At 44.3% G+C, this 17368-nt stretch overlaps 1 protein-coding gene across 3 annotated transcripts in view; it reads left to right on the top strand.

The window, feature by feature from the left end:
• The window catches only part of BICD2 (BICD cargo adaptor 2), a 53471-nt gene extending 48338 nt beyond the window's left edge, over positions 1-5133 (top strand). For 2 of the 3 annotated variants that reach the window (NM_015250.4, XM_017014551.2), the window contains exons 7-8: positions 1033-1243; positions 3035-5133. In NM_015250.4, the coding sequence (NP_056065.1) occupies positions 1033-1243; positions 3035-3040 (217 nt within the window). In that variant the 3' untranslated portion in view covers positions 3041-5133. Of the gene's footprint in view, positions 1-1032 lie in introns of all 3 variants that reach the window. The other variant, NM_001003800.2, reaches the window with a different exon arrangement.

Raw genomic sequence — 17368 nt, 5'->3', positions numbered from 1 at the left:
GCACTCCCAGTTTCTCAGTATCCCTGCAGGACGTGCCAGAGCAGGGTACAGACAAGGAAGAGTCCCAGGATTTCTCTGGAAGCGTCCTGTCTTCCTGGGGCTTGGGGAAAAAATCCCACAGTTTCTCAGTATCTGGCATGTAAACCCTACCTTTTAAAATTTGTTTTATTTAAAAACTTTTCAGATGGAGCCAAGATTTTGAATCTGCAGGGATCACAGCTCTGTGTGCCCTCAAAAGGGTGGGCAGCAGAGTCCTTGGAGAGGGTGCTATCCAAGGGCCGGCTCCTGGCAGGTGGGGACAGGCAGAGTAGGGTGCGTGTGGGCAGGGTGGGGCTGTGCTCAGTGCCTGCACAGCCTCACCGCCCTGGGAGCCCTGGGATTTAACCCGCCCTTTGTCTCTACCAAGCCCCACCCATATGGGACATGTGGAAGAAGGGCATCCAGGGACAGACCACACCCTCCCACAGCTCCGCACCCGGGTTTCAGGATGAAGCTGTTGATGGCGTCCACACACGTGGTTCCTTGGCTCTGGTCAGTGCTCAGCACAGACTGACGAAGCATCGACCTTGGGAACAAGCCCAGTCCTGCTTAGATTTACATCCACACCCTAGAAGCCATGGCTTCTCCATGTCTTGATGCCCCAGGCCACCTCGAGGCCTTTAAGCGGGGAGAGCGCCTCCTAGAAGAAGCCCAGTCGCTGAGGGGCATAGCCTGTTTGTAAGCACTACATGCAGCTGAAAGAGCAAAGCAGCCCCTCCCCCACAAAACCACAAAACTCAAGCCAGCCTCATAGGGCTGCCCTGCCTGGGCCCAAGCCTCCCTCTCACCCTTATCAGGGATTTGTCCAAGCAAAGCCTGTGCTAAAATAAGCCAGAATAATTCTTCCCCAGCCACACCCTCCAGTCCAGAGGCCACATTGAAGGATGGCTCTGGTATAGGGCTGTCAGAGGGCCGTGCAGCTTAGCCCTGCCCTGCCCTGCCCTCCTCTGCTCGGCTCTGCCCGCCCCTCAGTCATGTTTTTGGTACCCACAGGTGTGACGAGTACATTACACAGCTGGATGAGATGCAGCGGCAGCTGGCGGCTGCTGAGGACGAGAAGAAGACGCTGAACTCGCTGCTGCGCATGGCCATCCAGCAGAAGCTGGCGCTGACCCAGCGGCTGGAGCTGCTCGAGCTGGACCATGAGCAGACCCGGCGTGGCCGTGCCAAAGCCGCCCCGAAGACCAAGCCAGCCACACCGAGCGTAAGTCACACCTGTGCCTGTGCCAGCGACAGGGCCGAGGGCACCGGGCTGGCCAACCAGGTGTTCTGCAGCGAGAAGCACAGCATTTACTGTGATTAGGGGCTGTGGGGCGCCGCACGCTGCAGCTAACATCTGCTTCACCTCAACTAACCCAGCAGCAGCGGGACGGCGGTGCTAGGTCAATCTTAACGTGACTAATGCACAGAGGGTAGGAGTCTAGCCGAGGCGCCATGGGGCGTTGCATCAGCAGGACACTTGTGAGAGCTTTGTGTCGCTTCTCACTCCTCAAAGCCCCCTCAGGAGCACCCAGTCCTCAGCTGCTCTCTTAGGTGGGGGTCAGAGGTGGGGATAGAGCTGCACATTCTTGCAGCAGATGTGTGATGAAAGCATCTTCTAAGCCCTGCGCACCCGTGGGGAAACCCAAGGGAGGAGTCCTGGTCCTGCTCCCTCAGCACCCAAAAGGGGCAGAACCTGAGTTGAGACTTGCATGTTCCTCGCATGTGTCTAATGTCAGCACTAGAAAGCAGTTTTAGGAGGTTCCAGCCTGCAGCATAGGTACGACCTCAGAGGATGGCTTTGCACTTGGCATAGTTTCATGGAAAGGAGTACGTTGTAGTTTATGCAGTATCTGACTGCAAATCATATTCAGGAAAGAAGTGCAGAATTTCTTCCCCAAGCCCAGAGAAGAGCAGCCCTGAGCCCCTGTATTCTGCTGGCCAGACACACATGGCACAGACACAGCTGACCATAACCCAGGAATCCAGAGCTCGGTTTCTCATTTCTGAGATCAGGATGCTTGTATAGTGGCCTGTGAGGTGACAGATTGGCAGGGCCCAAGGCCCCAGGTTTTCATTTTTCATGAGAAAAGCTTTCCAAGTGCCTGGCCAGACCTTGGTCCTTAGTGCAGAGCCCGTCCTTTTGTACTTGGGGTGACCCCAGCAGCCAATTATCCGGCCTTCCATAGGGGGTTCAGTCCCAAAGACATGGGGCTTTGAAAACCCTAGCCTGAAGTCTGAGCCACCAAGGGCTTGGCTGGGTTGGACACCCACAGGTGTATCCAGAGCCCAGCCCGGTGCTGGGAAAGCTTTGCATAGGGCCAGGGCCACTTGTCAGGATTCACAGGTAGGAGATGTTTAGGTCTCTTTATTTAGTGCAATCTGGGGGATGGCAACAGAGAAAGAGGAAAGGTAGCTGTAGGGTTCTCCCATTTCCAGAGGCTCCATCCACACCTGCCTTCCCACATTCTGAGCAGAACTTTTCTCAGTACTTTTTTCCCGATCACCCTGTGGGACCAGCTGGACCTGAGGCTGCAGTCTTCTCTCCTGCAGGCTGCTTGCCTTGTCTCTCATGCGGAAGAGGCATTCGAGTTACCTGGTGAGAGACCGTGTTGCCCCCTCCCACAGCTCTCTGCCCTGCGCGTTCTTCCCTTTGGTGCCGAGTATGTTTCGGTCCCCTCCAGACTCCAGGACACGCCCATGTATGTCCCCTGCGTGTTCATCCTGGGCCCAGATCCCCCTGCCCCAGCAAGACTCGCAGTGGGATGGCTGCTGGCATGCCCACCCTGCATGCGCTTTGCCCTCTCCTTGCAAGCCTGGCACATAGCTTCTCTCCATACTCCTAAGGGACTTTGCAGACACCCAAGCCACTGGGACCCCTGCTAACACATGCAGGTCTTCTCTTCTGCCAACTAACGTGCTCGCGCCCTCCCAGCACGTGGAGAGCTTCAATTGTCAGATAAACAGGAAGCGACAGATGACCGCTTTCTAACGCTCTCTTTTCTCCCGTTTTCAGCTGTAGAGTAGCTGCCAGGAGGACTTGGCCACCCGGCCCTGTCACACTGCAGCCCCTTCCCCTTCCCTCTCGTGGCCCACAAGGAGGAAGGAAGGGCAACCTAAAAGCCCACTTAGAAACTTTTTGGATATGCCACTGCAATTCTTTTCAAAATAGCATTCCCCAGGTTTTTAATGGGAGGAAAAAAAGCTTTAATGTTGAGCATGCTGCGAGCTGCTGCGTGGAAAGGCCTCTGTATGGGCCGAAGACCCTTCTTCCCTGGCTGCCAGGCTCGCCAGGAGCCCACTGGAAACGCCCACCACGGGGGCTCCTTGTTACACATGTTCTTTTTTTATCCGATCAACCTGTGCACTTTTGATATTTTGATATTATATTTGCTTCCTTAATTCCTCGCGTAGAGACGGTCTCAGGTGCCGTGGTCTATGCTCGTGGTCCTGTAGCTGTCCGCCTCAGCTCCCACCGTGTTTGTCTGGTGTCAGCACGAGGCAGAGCTGTGTGCTCCATAGCGTGTAGCTTTAGACTCGGAGATGAGTGCTTTGACCCAGCGAGGAGCTCAGCTAAGTGTATCCACGCTGTGGTTCAGCAGCCTTTAGATCATACGGCATTGTGGTTCATGTTTGAAATTACAGATTTTAAATGCCATGTTCATTAAGAAATCCAGGGTATTCAGATTCTGGGGTTTTTCATATTGTATTATTATTATTCTTAGGAATAGTTCAATGTAACAAGAAGAAAACTTGACCTTTGCTCTGGTTAAAACAGTAATAGGCACTTGAAAAAAAAAGATAAATTATTGAATGAGTAGTATTACCTACAAATTCCAGAATTTTCTGGGTTTTAGGACGTTGTGAAGCATGACTGATTAACAGAATTTTATACAACTGTACCAATAAAATTCCAAATTGGAATTGTTTTGTTACTCTGGTTGTTGTGCCAAATTGTGGTACACTTAGAAAATTCTACAGTCGTCGATTTTTAGGGTGTTCTCTTTCAACACCTTTTTGTTAGTAATCATTGCCAGTAGTGCCTTCATCAGTTAAGGGAGGTGTCCCAGCACAGATCATTCTCAAAAGCGAGCAGGGAAGAGCTAGTGGGCATGCTGAAGGCCAGCGTGGACAGCAGGTGAGGCAGGTGCTCCTCACACCCAGACCTGGGCATCTTCATTGAGGGAAAGAAAACAGTCATTGTGCAAAATTCTGTTAGTCAGTGATTCTTTACTTGCAAATTCAGGGGCTTAGAAAATGAAAGCAAACACAAAACCTTGAGTGTGCTTTGGGAACCAAATGGACCTTCTGGGACAAGCTGAGCAAGCTGTATGAACGCCACGTTTGTGAAGAGCTGAGGGTATCAGGAGGGCCGACGCTGTGTTGGCATGCGCAGTAGGGGATGAGGGTTAGCCATAGTATTCTTTGCAAATGTGAAAGCGAGACATTATATCTTCTCTTGCTTGGTGTAACTAATCACTGTTAATTTCAGGAAACAGAACTCATTAAAACTCCTTAGCAAACCAGGTCTACATCCTGTTTTGTTTGCTGAGTGAGGTTAGTGGGAGTGGTCAAATTGGTACTCTTGGAGGAAGAAAAACTGTCCTTCCTTCTCCAAAAAAGGAAAAATTATAATAATATAAATGACAAAAATAAAAGAATTCTGTTTCCTGGAATAAGCATTTCTTATTCCTAGTTGTAGGGACTCCTATTTTTACCTTCCGTTACAGTGTTGATTCATAAGAAATATTGTTACATTTGAGATAACTTCATCTGTATGGGGTATTTATTTGCAATGATGTCTGAGTACTGTATTTTTTCTGTGCATTACCTTAGTGTCAGAATGTTGGTCTTTATTTTAAAGTCATATGCATGTTCTCCTGCCAAGGAACCTTTACACAGACCCAAACAAAAAAATAATAATCAAATGCCTTCAATTTCTGAGAAAATGAGGCAGAGCATGGAAAAGGAATAGGAAGGAGAAATTAATTGAGATTTTCAGGACACAGACATATGATGTGAATGCCTACAAAGCCAGTGCGCATAGGAACAGTGGGCCTGGGTAAAGAGTCACATTGGTAGGACCAATAAAGAATAATAAAAAGACAAAGCACATGTTTGTTCTCTGTGGTTGTTCTGACTCCGTGCTCCAGATAACTGTGGTTTAAGCAAGGCACAATAAATCCACTGCCTCAAACAACAACAGCAACAAGCCTATCAGGTAACCCTGGTAGTGGGAACTGGAAGCAGCCTGGGGTCCACCTTCAGGAGAATGGGGAGGGGTCATGTATATGTGGGGAGGCTGTCACTCCATCCCTGAAACAAGAATGTGTTCAAGGACCCAGAAGATGAGGGTAGGGAAAGGGTAGAGTTGGTGTCTGGGTGCTTGTGCCAATCAAATACACCACCAGGCAGAAGTGAGCCAGGCCACACTGGGCCACGCACATGAGTGGAGTGGAGGGCACAGACAATGCCCCCCCCTGGAAAGATGCCTGCCCCCCAGGGCCCTGACGCCTCATAACTCTGTCCTCAAGGGTCTTCTGAAGTGCAGCATCAGGTTTGAAGCCACAGCAGCATGTTGGTAAGAACACATTGTGTATACATAGACTAAAACTAGGAGTAGCCTATGCTATCCTGATGAGGAGGCAGGGATTCAGATGATGTAGAATCCTTTGCTGTCTAAACTCTCACTCTCTGAACCCAGGAATCACATTTGTCTGTAGGAATATGTACAAATATACAGTGGGCACGTTCATATGGTTGCTTGTGGGTGTGAGAAAAGGGGACAGTGTCTAGTCAAGGGGACAGTAAATACCAGGACACACTCCTGCCACCTCCTAGTCCGACAGCCTCAGTCAGGCCTGTGTGGCTTCACTCATGTAGGGCTTCCCTCTGGAAAGCCGTCTCAGGCTAGGGTCTTGCTGCCATGCCCCTTCCCCAGGACCCCTCCATCTGACTGCAGTCTCACTGCCATACCACCTTTCCTAGTTTCACTGTCACTGCAGAACCTCCAGCCTTTGATGATACTATTCTGCTTTAGTAGCAGCTGTTGGGACTTGTTTTCAGTTTAAACCATTCTTTCTGATGGAGTAAAAGAGGCAGTTGTCCAACTCCTGGAAAAGGTTGAAAAGAAAGCCCTGAACTGATCTAGAAGAACCTCAAGGAGAAGGGAGGTGTAAAGCGTCAGGGCCCTGTGGGGCAGGCTTCTTTACAGGGACAGTGTCTGTGCCTTCCACTCCCACACTTGTGCATGGCCCAGTGTGGCCTGGCTCACTTCTGCCTGGTGGTGTATTTGATTGGCACAGGTATCCAGACACTGAGTCTGCCCTCCCCCATCCTCATCTTCTGGGTCCTTGAACACAGTCTTCAGTTTCAAGGATGGAGCGGCAGCCTCTTGAGTGGGTGGGGTCTCAGGAGCTTGCAGAGGGGGACAGTCCATGCTGAAAGGCCTTCTGCTCAGCCTTCCCTCTGGGAGAGGGTGGTCTGCATTTCTTCTGCATCTTCCATCTCCCCGCAGTGTTTTCACCCCTACTTCCCGGCAGATTACTAGAGCTGGAAACAACAGCATGGACTTGAGAGCCGGACTGATGATTGAATCACCACCGTTTGGTAGCTGGCTGCCTTAGCTCTCTGAGCCTCAACTTCCCTATCTGTTAGGTGGGGACAAAATAGTGCCTCTTGTATAGGTGGTTGTGAAGCTTCATCAAGCCCTTGGTACCAGCATGCAGCAGGTACTCAATTGATGATTGGTGCTAATATGGTTCTTACTGTCATCATCATCACCAGTGCTTTGGACACAAGGCCATGTATCTAGGTCTTTGTCCTTTGGGGAATATAATTTTAAGCCAACTTATTAACAGAGTGTAATTTGCATCCAGGAAAGTGTGCACATCCTAGTATACAGGCCAAATTTGCACACAGTGAACACAGCTATGTAACTAGTAACCCCAAAGTTCTCCACCCCTACCCTCAGGTATGCTTTTTGGGGAGTATTTATCCTTCATCAGCACAAATTAATAGGGTGTCTGCTAGTCCTGGTGAGTCACTGGGCTGCCTTCTTCCCACAAAGCCTCCTAGGAGAACAGACATGCCACATCAGGTTTGCTTCATCAAAGTTTTTGTGAAATTTAGCACACATACATTAAAGTGCAAATAAAAGTGTCCACTGGCCAACTGGATTTTTGCAAACTAAATACTGTCACACTGTGTAGCCAGCACTCAGAGGAAAGGCAAGTGAGGATATCCCCCAGAAGTCCTGATGTTTTCTGCACCCGCTCCTCCCAGGGCTAACTCCCTGACTCTGTCAATGCAGGCCACTTTTGCCTATTTCTGTACTTGTAAGTGGAAGCATACAATAGACACATGGAGCTTTGATAGATTTTCTTAACAAAAAACTGCATTGATTTAGCACACCATGATCCAACTGTGTGTTTAGAGGTGTCTCATTTTAGATTGAAAGACACAAGAGTAAAAGGATGGAAAAAGATACCCCATACAACAGTAACCAAAGAAGAGCACAGGTGGTGGCTATGCTAATGTTGGACCAAATTGACTTTAAGGCAGAAATTATTATGCAAGGCAAAGGAGGACATCATGTAATGATAAGAGTCAATTCACCAGGAAGATACAACAGCCATACACATATATGCACCAAACAGGAACCCCAAAATATGTGAAGCAAAACTTGGCCAAATTAAAGGGAGAAATAGTTCAACAACGGTGGGAGTTTCAATACCCCACTTTTAATAATGGCTAGAAAAACAAGACAAGATCAGAAAAGAAATACAATACTTGAACAGGACTATAAGACAGTTAGAGCTAATAGACATCTATAGAACACTCCGAACAGAATACATATTAAATGCATATGTAACATTCTCCAGTCTAGAACCCGTTTTAAGCAACAAAACAAGTCTCAATAAATGTAAGACGATTGGAATTATACAAGTTATAGTCTCCAGTGACAGTGGAATAAAGTTAGAAATAACAAGGAGATTTGGGAAATTTACAAATATGTGGAAATAAAACAACATACTTCCTAATAAACAAGGAGTCAAAGAAGATATCATACAAAAGGTAGAGAGATCTGAAAAATAACCTAACCTCCCAACCTTAAAAAACTAGAAAAAGAGAAACAGCCCAAAGCAAGCAGCAAGAAGGAAATAGTAAAGATTACAACAGCGATAAATGAAATAGGGATGGGGGAAAATGGCAAAAGATAAACAAAACTGACAAACCTTTAGGTAGAACAAGAAAAAAAGTTACTAAAATAAAAAATAAAATTGTGACATTACTACTGATTTTACAGAAGTATTAAGGAGTACAAGCATACAATGAACAATTACGTAGCAACAATATCGGATCATCTAAACCCAAAGTAAGCAGAGGGGAGGAACTAGTAAAGATTAGAGTGGATATAAATGAAATAGAAAATCAGGAGAGAAAACCAACAAACCCAAAAGTTGTTTCCTTAAAAAGATAAACAGCCAATGGCAAACCTTTATCTAGACTGTTCAAGAAAAACATGATCAAATTACTAAATCAGGAATGAGAGTGGGGACATTAATAATGACCTTACAGAAAGAAAAAGGATTATGAGAAAATATAACAATGCTAAAAAACATAGGTACACTTGATGAAATGCCAAATCACTAGAATCACACAAACTCCCAAAACTGACTCTAAAGGAAATAAATAATAGGCATATAACAAAAGACTGACTCAGTAATCAAAAATCTTCCAACAGGAATTTCAGTTTCTGTGCTGGTATGTAAGGTGCTTAGAATTCATTACTCCATCCTAACAAGGGAAAAGCTAAACAAACAGAAAAAGCAACTTTTTAAAGATCTATCAGAGAAGTGAGCTCACAGGCCAAATCACTGTACCAAAAATTGAAAAGACAGATACAGAGAACTCTGTGAAGAACCTATTACTGGAAGCAGTAAGAAAGGCCATCTTTGTTATGAAGCAGCAAAGAAATTGGCTGAATTGTGTTTGTGTTCTAGTGTTTTGCGGCAGGTAGCCCTGTGAGTGATTAGGTCTTTTTGTTTGTTTGTTTTGTTTTTAGACGGAGTCTCGCTCTGTCGCCCAGGCTGGAGTGCAGTGGCACGATCTTGGCTCACTGCAAGCTTAGATCTTTAGCTGGAGCTATTTCTGAGCAAAGTGTTGAAGGGGCAGCCTGGTTCCTTTGAATTGTTTATAGTAAAATGAGAGAAGAAAGATAATTTAGAATTGTTGATCAAAAGGGAAGCAGAACTCAGAAATTTGGAAAACTCAGCCAATCCATATTGGAAAAAATGAAAAACCTTGTTCAGGAGGAAAGGGTCTGGCCAAGTAACTCTTTGATGAGGTGATTAGTATGGATTGACCATCTCAGGGAAAGCCAGGTGTTAAGAGAAAGATTGGTCTGCCATCTATAAACAGAAGCGAGGACCTAATTTTTAAGGCAATGGAAGAATGACCCCAAAGGCATTTCTGAGATCATCACAGCTACCCATCCCATCACGGGCCCTGAGTAGAAAGATGTGGGGGCATGGCTGCCTTCCCCCAGAATTAAAAGGATGCCCCAAGAGAGCCATGGGGCTGAGACGGAGAATCACTGTTGGGGAAGGGCCACTACAGAGGGCCCCCACTAGGCCCATGAGTCCAGACCAGTAGAGTCACCAGTGGTGGTTTCCAGGAGAGCCTCAGATGCATGACCCAGGCACAGAGCTACTGTGGAGGCAGGAGCAAGGCACAAGCACATGGCTGCCTCAGGGGCAAGGCCACCCAAAGCCACGGGGCAGGGCTGCTACCACATTGTGTCCTGAAGGTGGCACTATCACCTTAGTGGGCCTGGAGGGCAGAACATTGAGCCAATGATTATTCTCAAGCCGTAACATTTCATGTTGTTTCCTCTGTTGGGTTTCAGACTTACTTGGGACCAGTCACTGTTTTCTTCTTTCCTATTTCTCCCTTTTAAAATGGAAATATCTATCCTATGCCCATCCCACCATTGTATTTTGGAAGCACAGAACATGTTTGTTTCACTGCTAGAGAGCAGTTTACCTCAGAATGAGTCATACTTTCAGTCTCACCTATATCTGATTTAGATGAAACTCTGAACTGGAGATTTTGGAGTTGGTGCTGGAATGTTTTAAGAGTTTGGGGGCTATTGGGATGGAATTAATGTATTTTGCTTGTGACATAGACATGAATTTGAGGGGAGCAAGAGTGGAATGCTAGGGGTCTAAATGTGTTCCCTCAAAATTCATATGTTGAAATTCTAACCCCAAAAGTGCTAGGATTACAAAGTGGAGCCTTTAGGTGGTGATTAGGTCATGAGGTCAGAGCTGTCGTGATGAGAAAAGTGTCTTTATTTAAAACCAACAGCAACAACAAAAACAAAACAAAACCTAGAGAGGTTGCTCTTCCCTTCCACCATCTGAAGTTACAGTGAAAAGATGACTTTCTATGCCCCAAGAAGTGAGCCAGGTCTGCTGGCACCTTGATTTTGGATTTCCCATCCTCCAGAAATGCTAGAAATAAACTTCGGGGCCGGGTGCAGTGGCTCACGCCTGTAATCCCAGCACTTTGGGAGGCGGAAGTGGGCGGATCACGAGGTCAGGAGATCGCGACCATCCTGGCTAACACAGTGAAACCCCGTCTCTACTAAAAATATAAAAATTAGCCGGGCATGGTGGTGGGCACCTGTAGTCCCAGCTACTGGGGAGGCTGAGACAGGAGAATGGCGTGAACCCGGGAGGCAGAGCTTGCAGTGAGCCGAGATCGCGCCACTGCACTCCAGCCTGGGCAACAGAGCGAGACTCCATCTCAAAAAAAAAACAAAGAAAGAAATAAACTTCTGATGTTTCTAAGCCAGTCTATTTTGTTTTTATGCTCTAATGGACTAAGACACTTATGAAATGCCCAATTAAAACCACAAAAAGCAAAAAAGAAAAGGTGGAAAATAAAAGTAGAAACAAAGAATAAGGACAACAATAGAAGACAGTAACAAATGGTAGAAATTAATCCAGCCTTATCAGTTATCACTTTAAACATCAATGGTGTAAATGCTAAAATCAAGAATGAGAGTGGGGTCATTAATAATGACCTTACAGAAAGAAAAAGGATAATAAAAAGATTGTTGGCCGGGCACGGTGGCTCACACCTATAATCCCAGCACTTTGGGAGGCCAAGGTGAGTGGATCACTTGAAGTCAGGAGTTCATGACCAGCCTGGCAATATGGTGAAACCCGTCTCTATTAAAAATACAAAAATCAGCTGGGTGTGGTGGTGCGTGCCTGTAATCCCAGCTACTCAGGAGGGTGAGGCAAGAGAATCACTTGAACCTGGGAGGTGGAGGTTGCAGTGAGCTGAGATTGCACCACTGCACTCCAGCCTGGGCAACAGAGTGAGTCTCCATCTCAAAAAAAAAAAAAAAATTTCAAAGTGGATGAAAAAGCAAGACTATATGTTGTTATCTCAGTCCATTTTGTGTTGTTATAACAATGAATGCCTGAGGCTGGGCCTCAGTATTCTGGTATTCAGGTATTTGGCCCACAATTCTGATGGCTGGAAGGTTCAAGATTGGGCAGCCACATCTGTTGGGGGCCTTAGGCTGCTTCAACTCATGGCAGAGAGTTGGCATGTACAAAGGGATTACACATTAAGAGGAGAAGCAAGAGAGAGAAACTAAGGAAGCCAGATTTCAGCAACCCACTCTCAAGGAAACTAATCTATTCCCACCCAAGCAAGAACACACCCCCAGAGAAGGGCATTAATCTGTTTATGATGGGTCTACTCCTATGACCCAAATACCTACCTCCCACTAGTCCCCACATCCCAACAGTGTCACGTTGAGGATCAAATTTCAACACGAGTTTTGGCAGGAACAGACCACATTCAAACCACAGCAGTTGTCTACAAGAAACCTACTTTAAATATAAAGATAGGTATCAATTAAAAGTTAAGGGATGGGGAAAGGTATACCATACTAATGCTAATCAAAGAAACTGGGAGTAGCTATATTATTTTAGAGCAGACTTAGAGCAAGGAAAGTTATCAGCAATAAAGAGGGGCATTACATAATGAGAACAGGATCAGTTCCTCAAGTAGGCAACAGTCCTTTATGTGGACGCACCTAACTGTACAGTGCCAAAATACATAAGGTAAAAACTCTTAGAACTGCAAGGAAAAACAGACAAATTAACTGTTATAGGTGGAATCTTCAGCACTGCTCTATCAGAAATGAACAGATCCGGTAAGCAAAAAAAATCAGTAAGGACATCGTTGAGCTCAACACCATCAATCAACTTGATATAATTGACTTAGACGGCTTGATCCAATAGAAGCTGAATACACTTTCTTGTCAAGCTCACGTGGGACATTCACTAAGATATACCATATCTGGGCCATAAGACACACCTTCATAAATTGAAAAGGAAAGAAATCATGAAATGTCTGCTCCCAGAATCACAGAAGAATTAAACTAGAAATCAACAGAAAGATAGCTGGAAAGTCCCCCAATACTTGGAGGTGAAACAACATAAATCTGAATAGTACATAATCACAGAAGAAATCTCAAGATAAATTTTAAAATACTTTGAACTAAATGAAGATGAAAGTACAACTTAAAAGTTTAGAATACGGCTAAAGCAGTGCATTGAGGGAAATGTATTCTATTGGGTTGCACATATTAGAAAAGAAAAAAGATGGCCGGGCGCAGTGGCTCACGCCTGTAATCCCAGCACTTTGGGAGGCTCAGGCGGGCGGATCACGAGGTCAGGAGATCGAGACCATCCTGGCTAACACGGTGAAACCCCGTCTCTACTAAAAATGCAAAAAAATTAGCCGGGCGTGGTGGTGGGCGCCTGTAGTCCCAGCTACTCGGGAGGCTGAGGCAGGAGAATGGTGTGAACCTGGGAGTTGGAGCTTGCAGTGAGCCGAGATTGCGCCACTGCACTCCAGCCTGGGTGACAGAGCGAGACTCCATCTCAAAAAAAACAAAAAGAAAAGAAAAGAAAAGAAAAAAGATGTAAAATGAATACACACCTACTTTAGGAAGGTAGGAAAAGAACAATTTTAGATCTATGGTAAGCAGAAGAAAAGAAAAAGTAGAGCAGAAATCAATGAAATTGGAAACAGGAAAAAAAAATCAATGAGACCCAAAGTTAGCTCTTTGAAAAGATTTTTTTTTTTTGAGAGTCTCGTTCTGTCAACCAGGCTGGAGTGCAGTCGCATGATCTCGACTCACTGCAAGCTCCGCCTCCTGGGTTCATGCCATTTTCCTGCCTCAGCCTACCCAGTAGCTGGGACTAAAGGCGCCCGCCACTATGCCTGGCTAATTTTTTTTTTTTTTTTTTTTTTTTTTTTTTTAGTAAAGATGGGGTTTCACCGTGTCAGCCAGGATGGTCTCGATCTCCTGACCTTGTGATCCGCCCGCCTCAGCCTCCCAGAGTGCTGGGGTTACCGGCGTGAGCCACCGCACCTGGCTGGTAAAAATTTTTTTTAAATGGAAAACTTCTATTCAAGCTAATTGAGAAAAAAGACAAACTACAAATGTCAGAAATGAACAAGGGGACATCCCTGCAGATCACATGGACATCAAAAGAATAATAAAGGAATACTATGAACAAGTCTGTGCCCACAAATTCAATAACCTACATGAAATAGACCCATTTTTTGAAAGACTGAATCTGCCAGAACACAAGAAGAAATAGATAATGGGCCTATATCTATTAAAAAAATTAAATCAGTAATCAATAACTTTCAGAACATAAGTGCAAGGCCCACATGGGTTTACCAGTGAATTCTACCACACTTTTTTTTTTTTTGAGACGGAGTTTCGCTCTTTATGCCCAGGCTGGAGTGCAGTGGCGCGATCTCGGCTCACTAGAACCTCCACCTCCTGGGTTCAAGTAATTCTCCTGCCTCAGCTTCCTGAGTAGCTGGGATTATAGGCACACACCACCACGCCCGGCTAATTTTTGTATTTTTAGTAGAGACAGCGTTTCACCATGTTGGGCCAGGCTGGTCTCAAACTCCTGACCTCAACTGATCTGCCCGTCTTGGCCTCTCAAAGTGTTGGGATTACAGGCGTGAGCCACCACGCCTGGCATCTACCACACATTTAAGGAAAAAATTATACCAATCCTCTACAGTCTGTTCCAGAAGATAGAAACAGAGGGGAAACTTCCTAACACTTTCTATGAAGCCAGCATTGTCCTATTACCAAAACCAGACAAAGACATTAACAGAAAAGAAAAGGACAAACCAGTATTTCTAATGAACAAAGATGCAAAAGTCCTCAACAAAATATTAGCAAATCAAATCCAAAAATGTGTAAAAAGAATTATGCTCTATGACCAAGGGGAATTTATCCCAGGTATGCAAAGCTGTATCAAAATTGGAAAATCAATTCATGTAATCCATCACATAAACAGGGTAAAGAAGAAAAATCACCCTATCCTATCAATAAATGCAGAAAAGGCATTTGACAAAATCCAACCCCATTTATGATTAAAAAGAAAAACTCTCAGCAAACTAGGAATAGAGGGGAACTTCTTCAATTTCATAAAAAGAACATCAGCAAAATACAACTAACATCATAATTAATGGTGAGAGACCTCAAGTTTTCCCATTAAGATGAGGAACAAAGGCAAGGATGTCCCCTGTCACCAGTTCTTTTCAGTATTCTACTGGAAATCCTAGCTAATGTGGTAAGACCCAAAAAAGGGGGAGAGGGGCTGGGGACACTGGCTCATGCCTGTAATCACAGTAGTTTGGGCAGATTGCTTCAACCCAGGAATTCGAGACCAGCCTGGGCAGCATAGTGAAACCCTGTCTCTACAAAAGATACAAAAATTATCTGGGCATGGTGGCACGCACCTGTAGTCCCACCATTGCACTTCAGCCTGGGTGACCCTGTCTCAACAAATAAATAAACAATAAGTAAATAAATGGTATCCAGATTGAGAAGGAAGAAATAAAACTGTCATATGCAGATGACATAATTGTTTATATAGAAAATCTGAAAGAATAAACAACAACAAAAACCCCCTGGAACTAATAAGCAATTATAGGCCAACAGTAGGATACAAGGTATATAAAAATCAATTGCTTTCCTATATACCAGCAATGGACAAGTGGAATTTGCAATTAAAAACATAACACCATTTACATTACTATCCCCCCAAATGAAATAATTAGGTATAAATCTAACAAAATATGTTAGATCTATATGAGGAAAGATCTATATGAGGAAAACTAGAAAACTGATTAAAGAAATCAGAAAAAAATACAGATCTTTTGTATTCATTGGTAGGAATACTCAGTATTGTCACAATGTCAATCTTTAACTTGATTTGTACAATCAATATAATCCCAATCAAAATCAGAGCAAGTTATTTTGTGGATATTGACGCACTAATTCTAAAGTTCATATGGAGAGAATAGACAACTCAATATTGAAGGAGAGGAACAAAGCTAAAGGCCTGATACTACATGTCTTAAAGACTATAAAACTACAGTAATCAAGATAGAATGGTCAGTGTGGTATTGGCAAAAGCATAGACAAACAGAATAGAGAGCCTAGAAATAGACCCACACAACTATAGTCAACTGATCTTTGAGAAAGGAACAAAGGAAGTATAGAAGAGAAAAGACAATCTTTTTAACAAATGGTGCTGGAACAACTGGTCTTCCACATGCAAAAAATGATTTTAGGCAAAGACCTCATATTCTTCATAAAGAATTACTCAACATGGATTACAGACCTAAATGCAAAATGCAGAACTGTACAACTCTTAGAAAATATAGAAAATCTAAATGACCTGGGGAATGGCAGTGACTTTTTTTTTTTTTTTTTTTGAGACAGGGTCTCATTTTGTCACGCAGGCTGTAGTACAGTGGCATAATCACAGCTCACTGCAACCTCTGCCTCCCAGGCTCAAGTGATTCTTACACCTCAGCCTCCTGAGTAGTTGGGACCACAGGTGTATGCCACCATGCCTGGCTAATTTTTGTATTTTTTGTAGAGGCAGGGTTTCACCACGTTGCCCAAGCTTGCCTCGAACTCCTGGCCTCAAGTGATCCACCTGCCTCAGACTCTTAAACTGCTGGGATTACAGGCCTGAGTCACTGTGCCTGGCTTGCTTTTTTTTTTTTTTTTTTTTGAGACAGGGTTGGCTCTTTCGCCTAGGCTATAGTACAGTGGCACAATCTCGGCTCACTGCAACCTCCATCTCCTGGGCTCAAGCCATCCTCCTGCCTCAGCCTCCTGAGTCTCTACAGGCCCACGCCACCGTGCCCAGCTAGTTTTTGTATTTTTTTGAAGAGATGGGGTTTCACCATGTTGCCCAGGCTGGTCTTGAACTCCTGAGCTTAAGCGATCCACCTGCCTAAGCCTCCCAAAGTGTTGGGATTACCGACATGAGCCACTGAGCCTGGCCACAATACATGGATGTTTTTCAATAAATATATTGGAAAATTTTTTTGGTGATTTGTGACAATTTGCAAAATCTCACAGGCAGACCATGTAGTTTAGAAATATTGAAAAACTTAAGTAAAAGATATGTCATGAATGCCTAAAATATATGCTGATATTAGTTTATTTTATAATTGACTACCATAAAATATACACAAACATAAACTTTACCAAAACGTATGCACACAAAGACTGTACATGGTGTCATTCAGTCAAGAGAAATATAAACAAACTTAAAGATGCAGTATTAAATCATAATGGCATAAGATTAACTGTAGTGCATACTGTACTATTGTAATAATTTCATAGCCACCTCCCTTTCTATTGCAGTGAACTTATGTGTTTTGATTGTCTGCTTAAAATGCCATCTGATGCTAATCACCTCTGTGTGAGCAGTTCATCTCTCCAGTAAAGTATCAGAGAAAAAAGTGGTCTTTCACAGTTTTCACATATTTCACATATTTTTCATCATGTTTGGTCCAATACCATAAACCTTGAATAACACCTTGAGACCCATATGAAATGCCACCAATGATGCTGAAAGTTCTCCCAAGAAGCAGAGAAAAGTCATGACGTTACAAGAAAAAGTTGAATTGCTTAATATGTACTATAGATTGAGGTCTGCGATTGCAGTTGCCCACCATAATGCTTCATCTTGCAAACAGACATTGTAAACTTATGGTATTGATAAATATTATACATTACTATAAATGTATTTTCTTTATAACCTTAATAACATTTTCTTTTCTCTAGATCACTTTATTGTAAGAATACAGCATATGACACATATAACAGAAAATATGTGTTAATCAACTGTTTATATTATCATTAAGGCTTCCAGTTAAGATTTCGAGGAGTCAAAAGTTGTATGTGGATTTTTAACTT

The sequence above is a fragment of the Homo sapiens genome, chromosome 9 (genome assembly GCF_000001405.40).
Source record: "Homo sapiens chromosome 9, GRCh38.p14 Primary Assembly".
NCBI classification, from domain to species: domain Eukaryota; kingdom Metazoa; phylum Chordata; class Mammalia; order Primates; family Hominidae; genus Homo; species Homo sapiens.
Note: the sequence above shows the minus strand (reverse complement) of the source record. Positions and strands in the feature narration are given on the sequence as shown.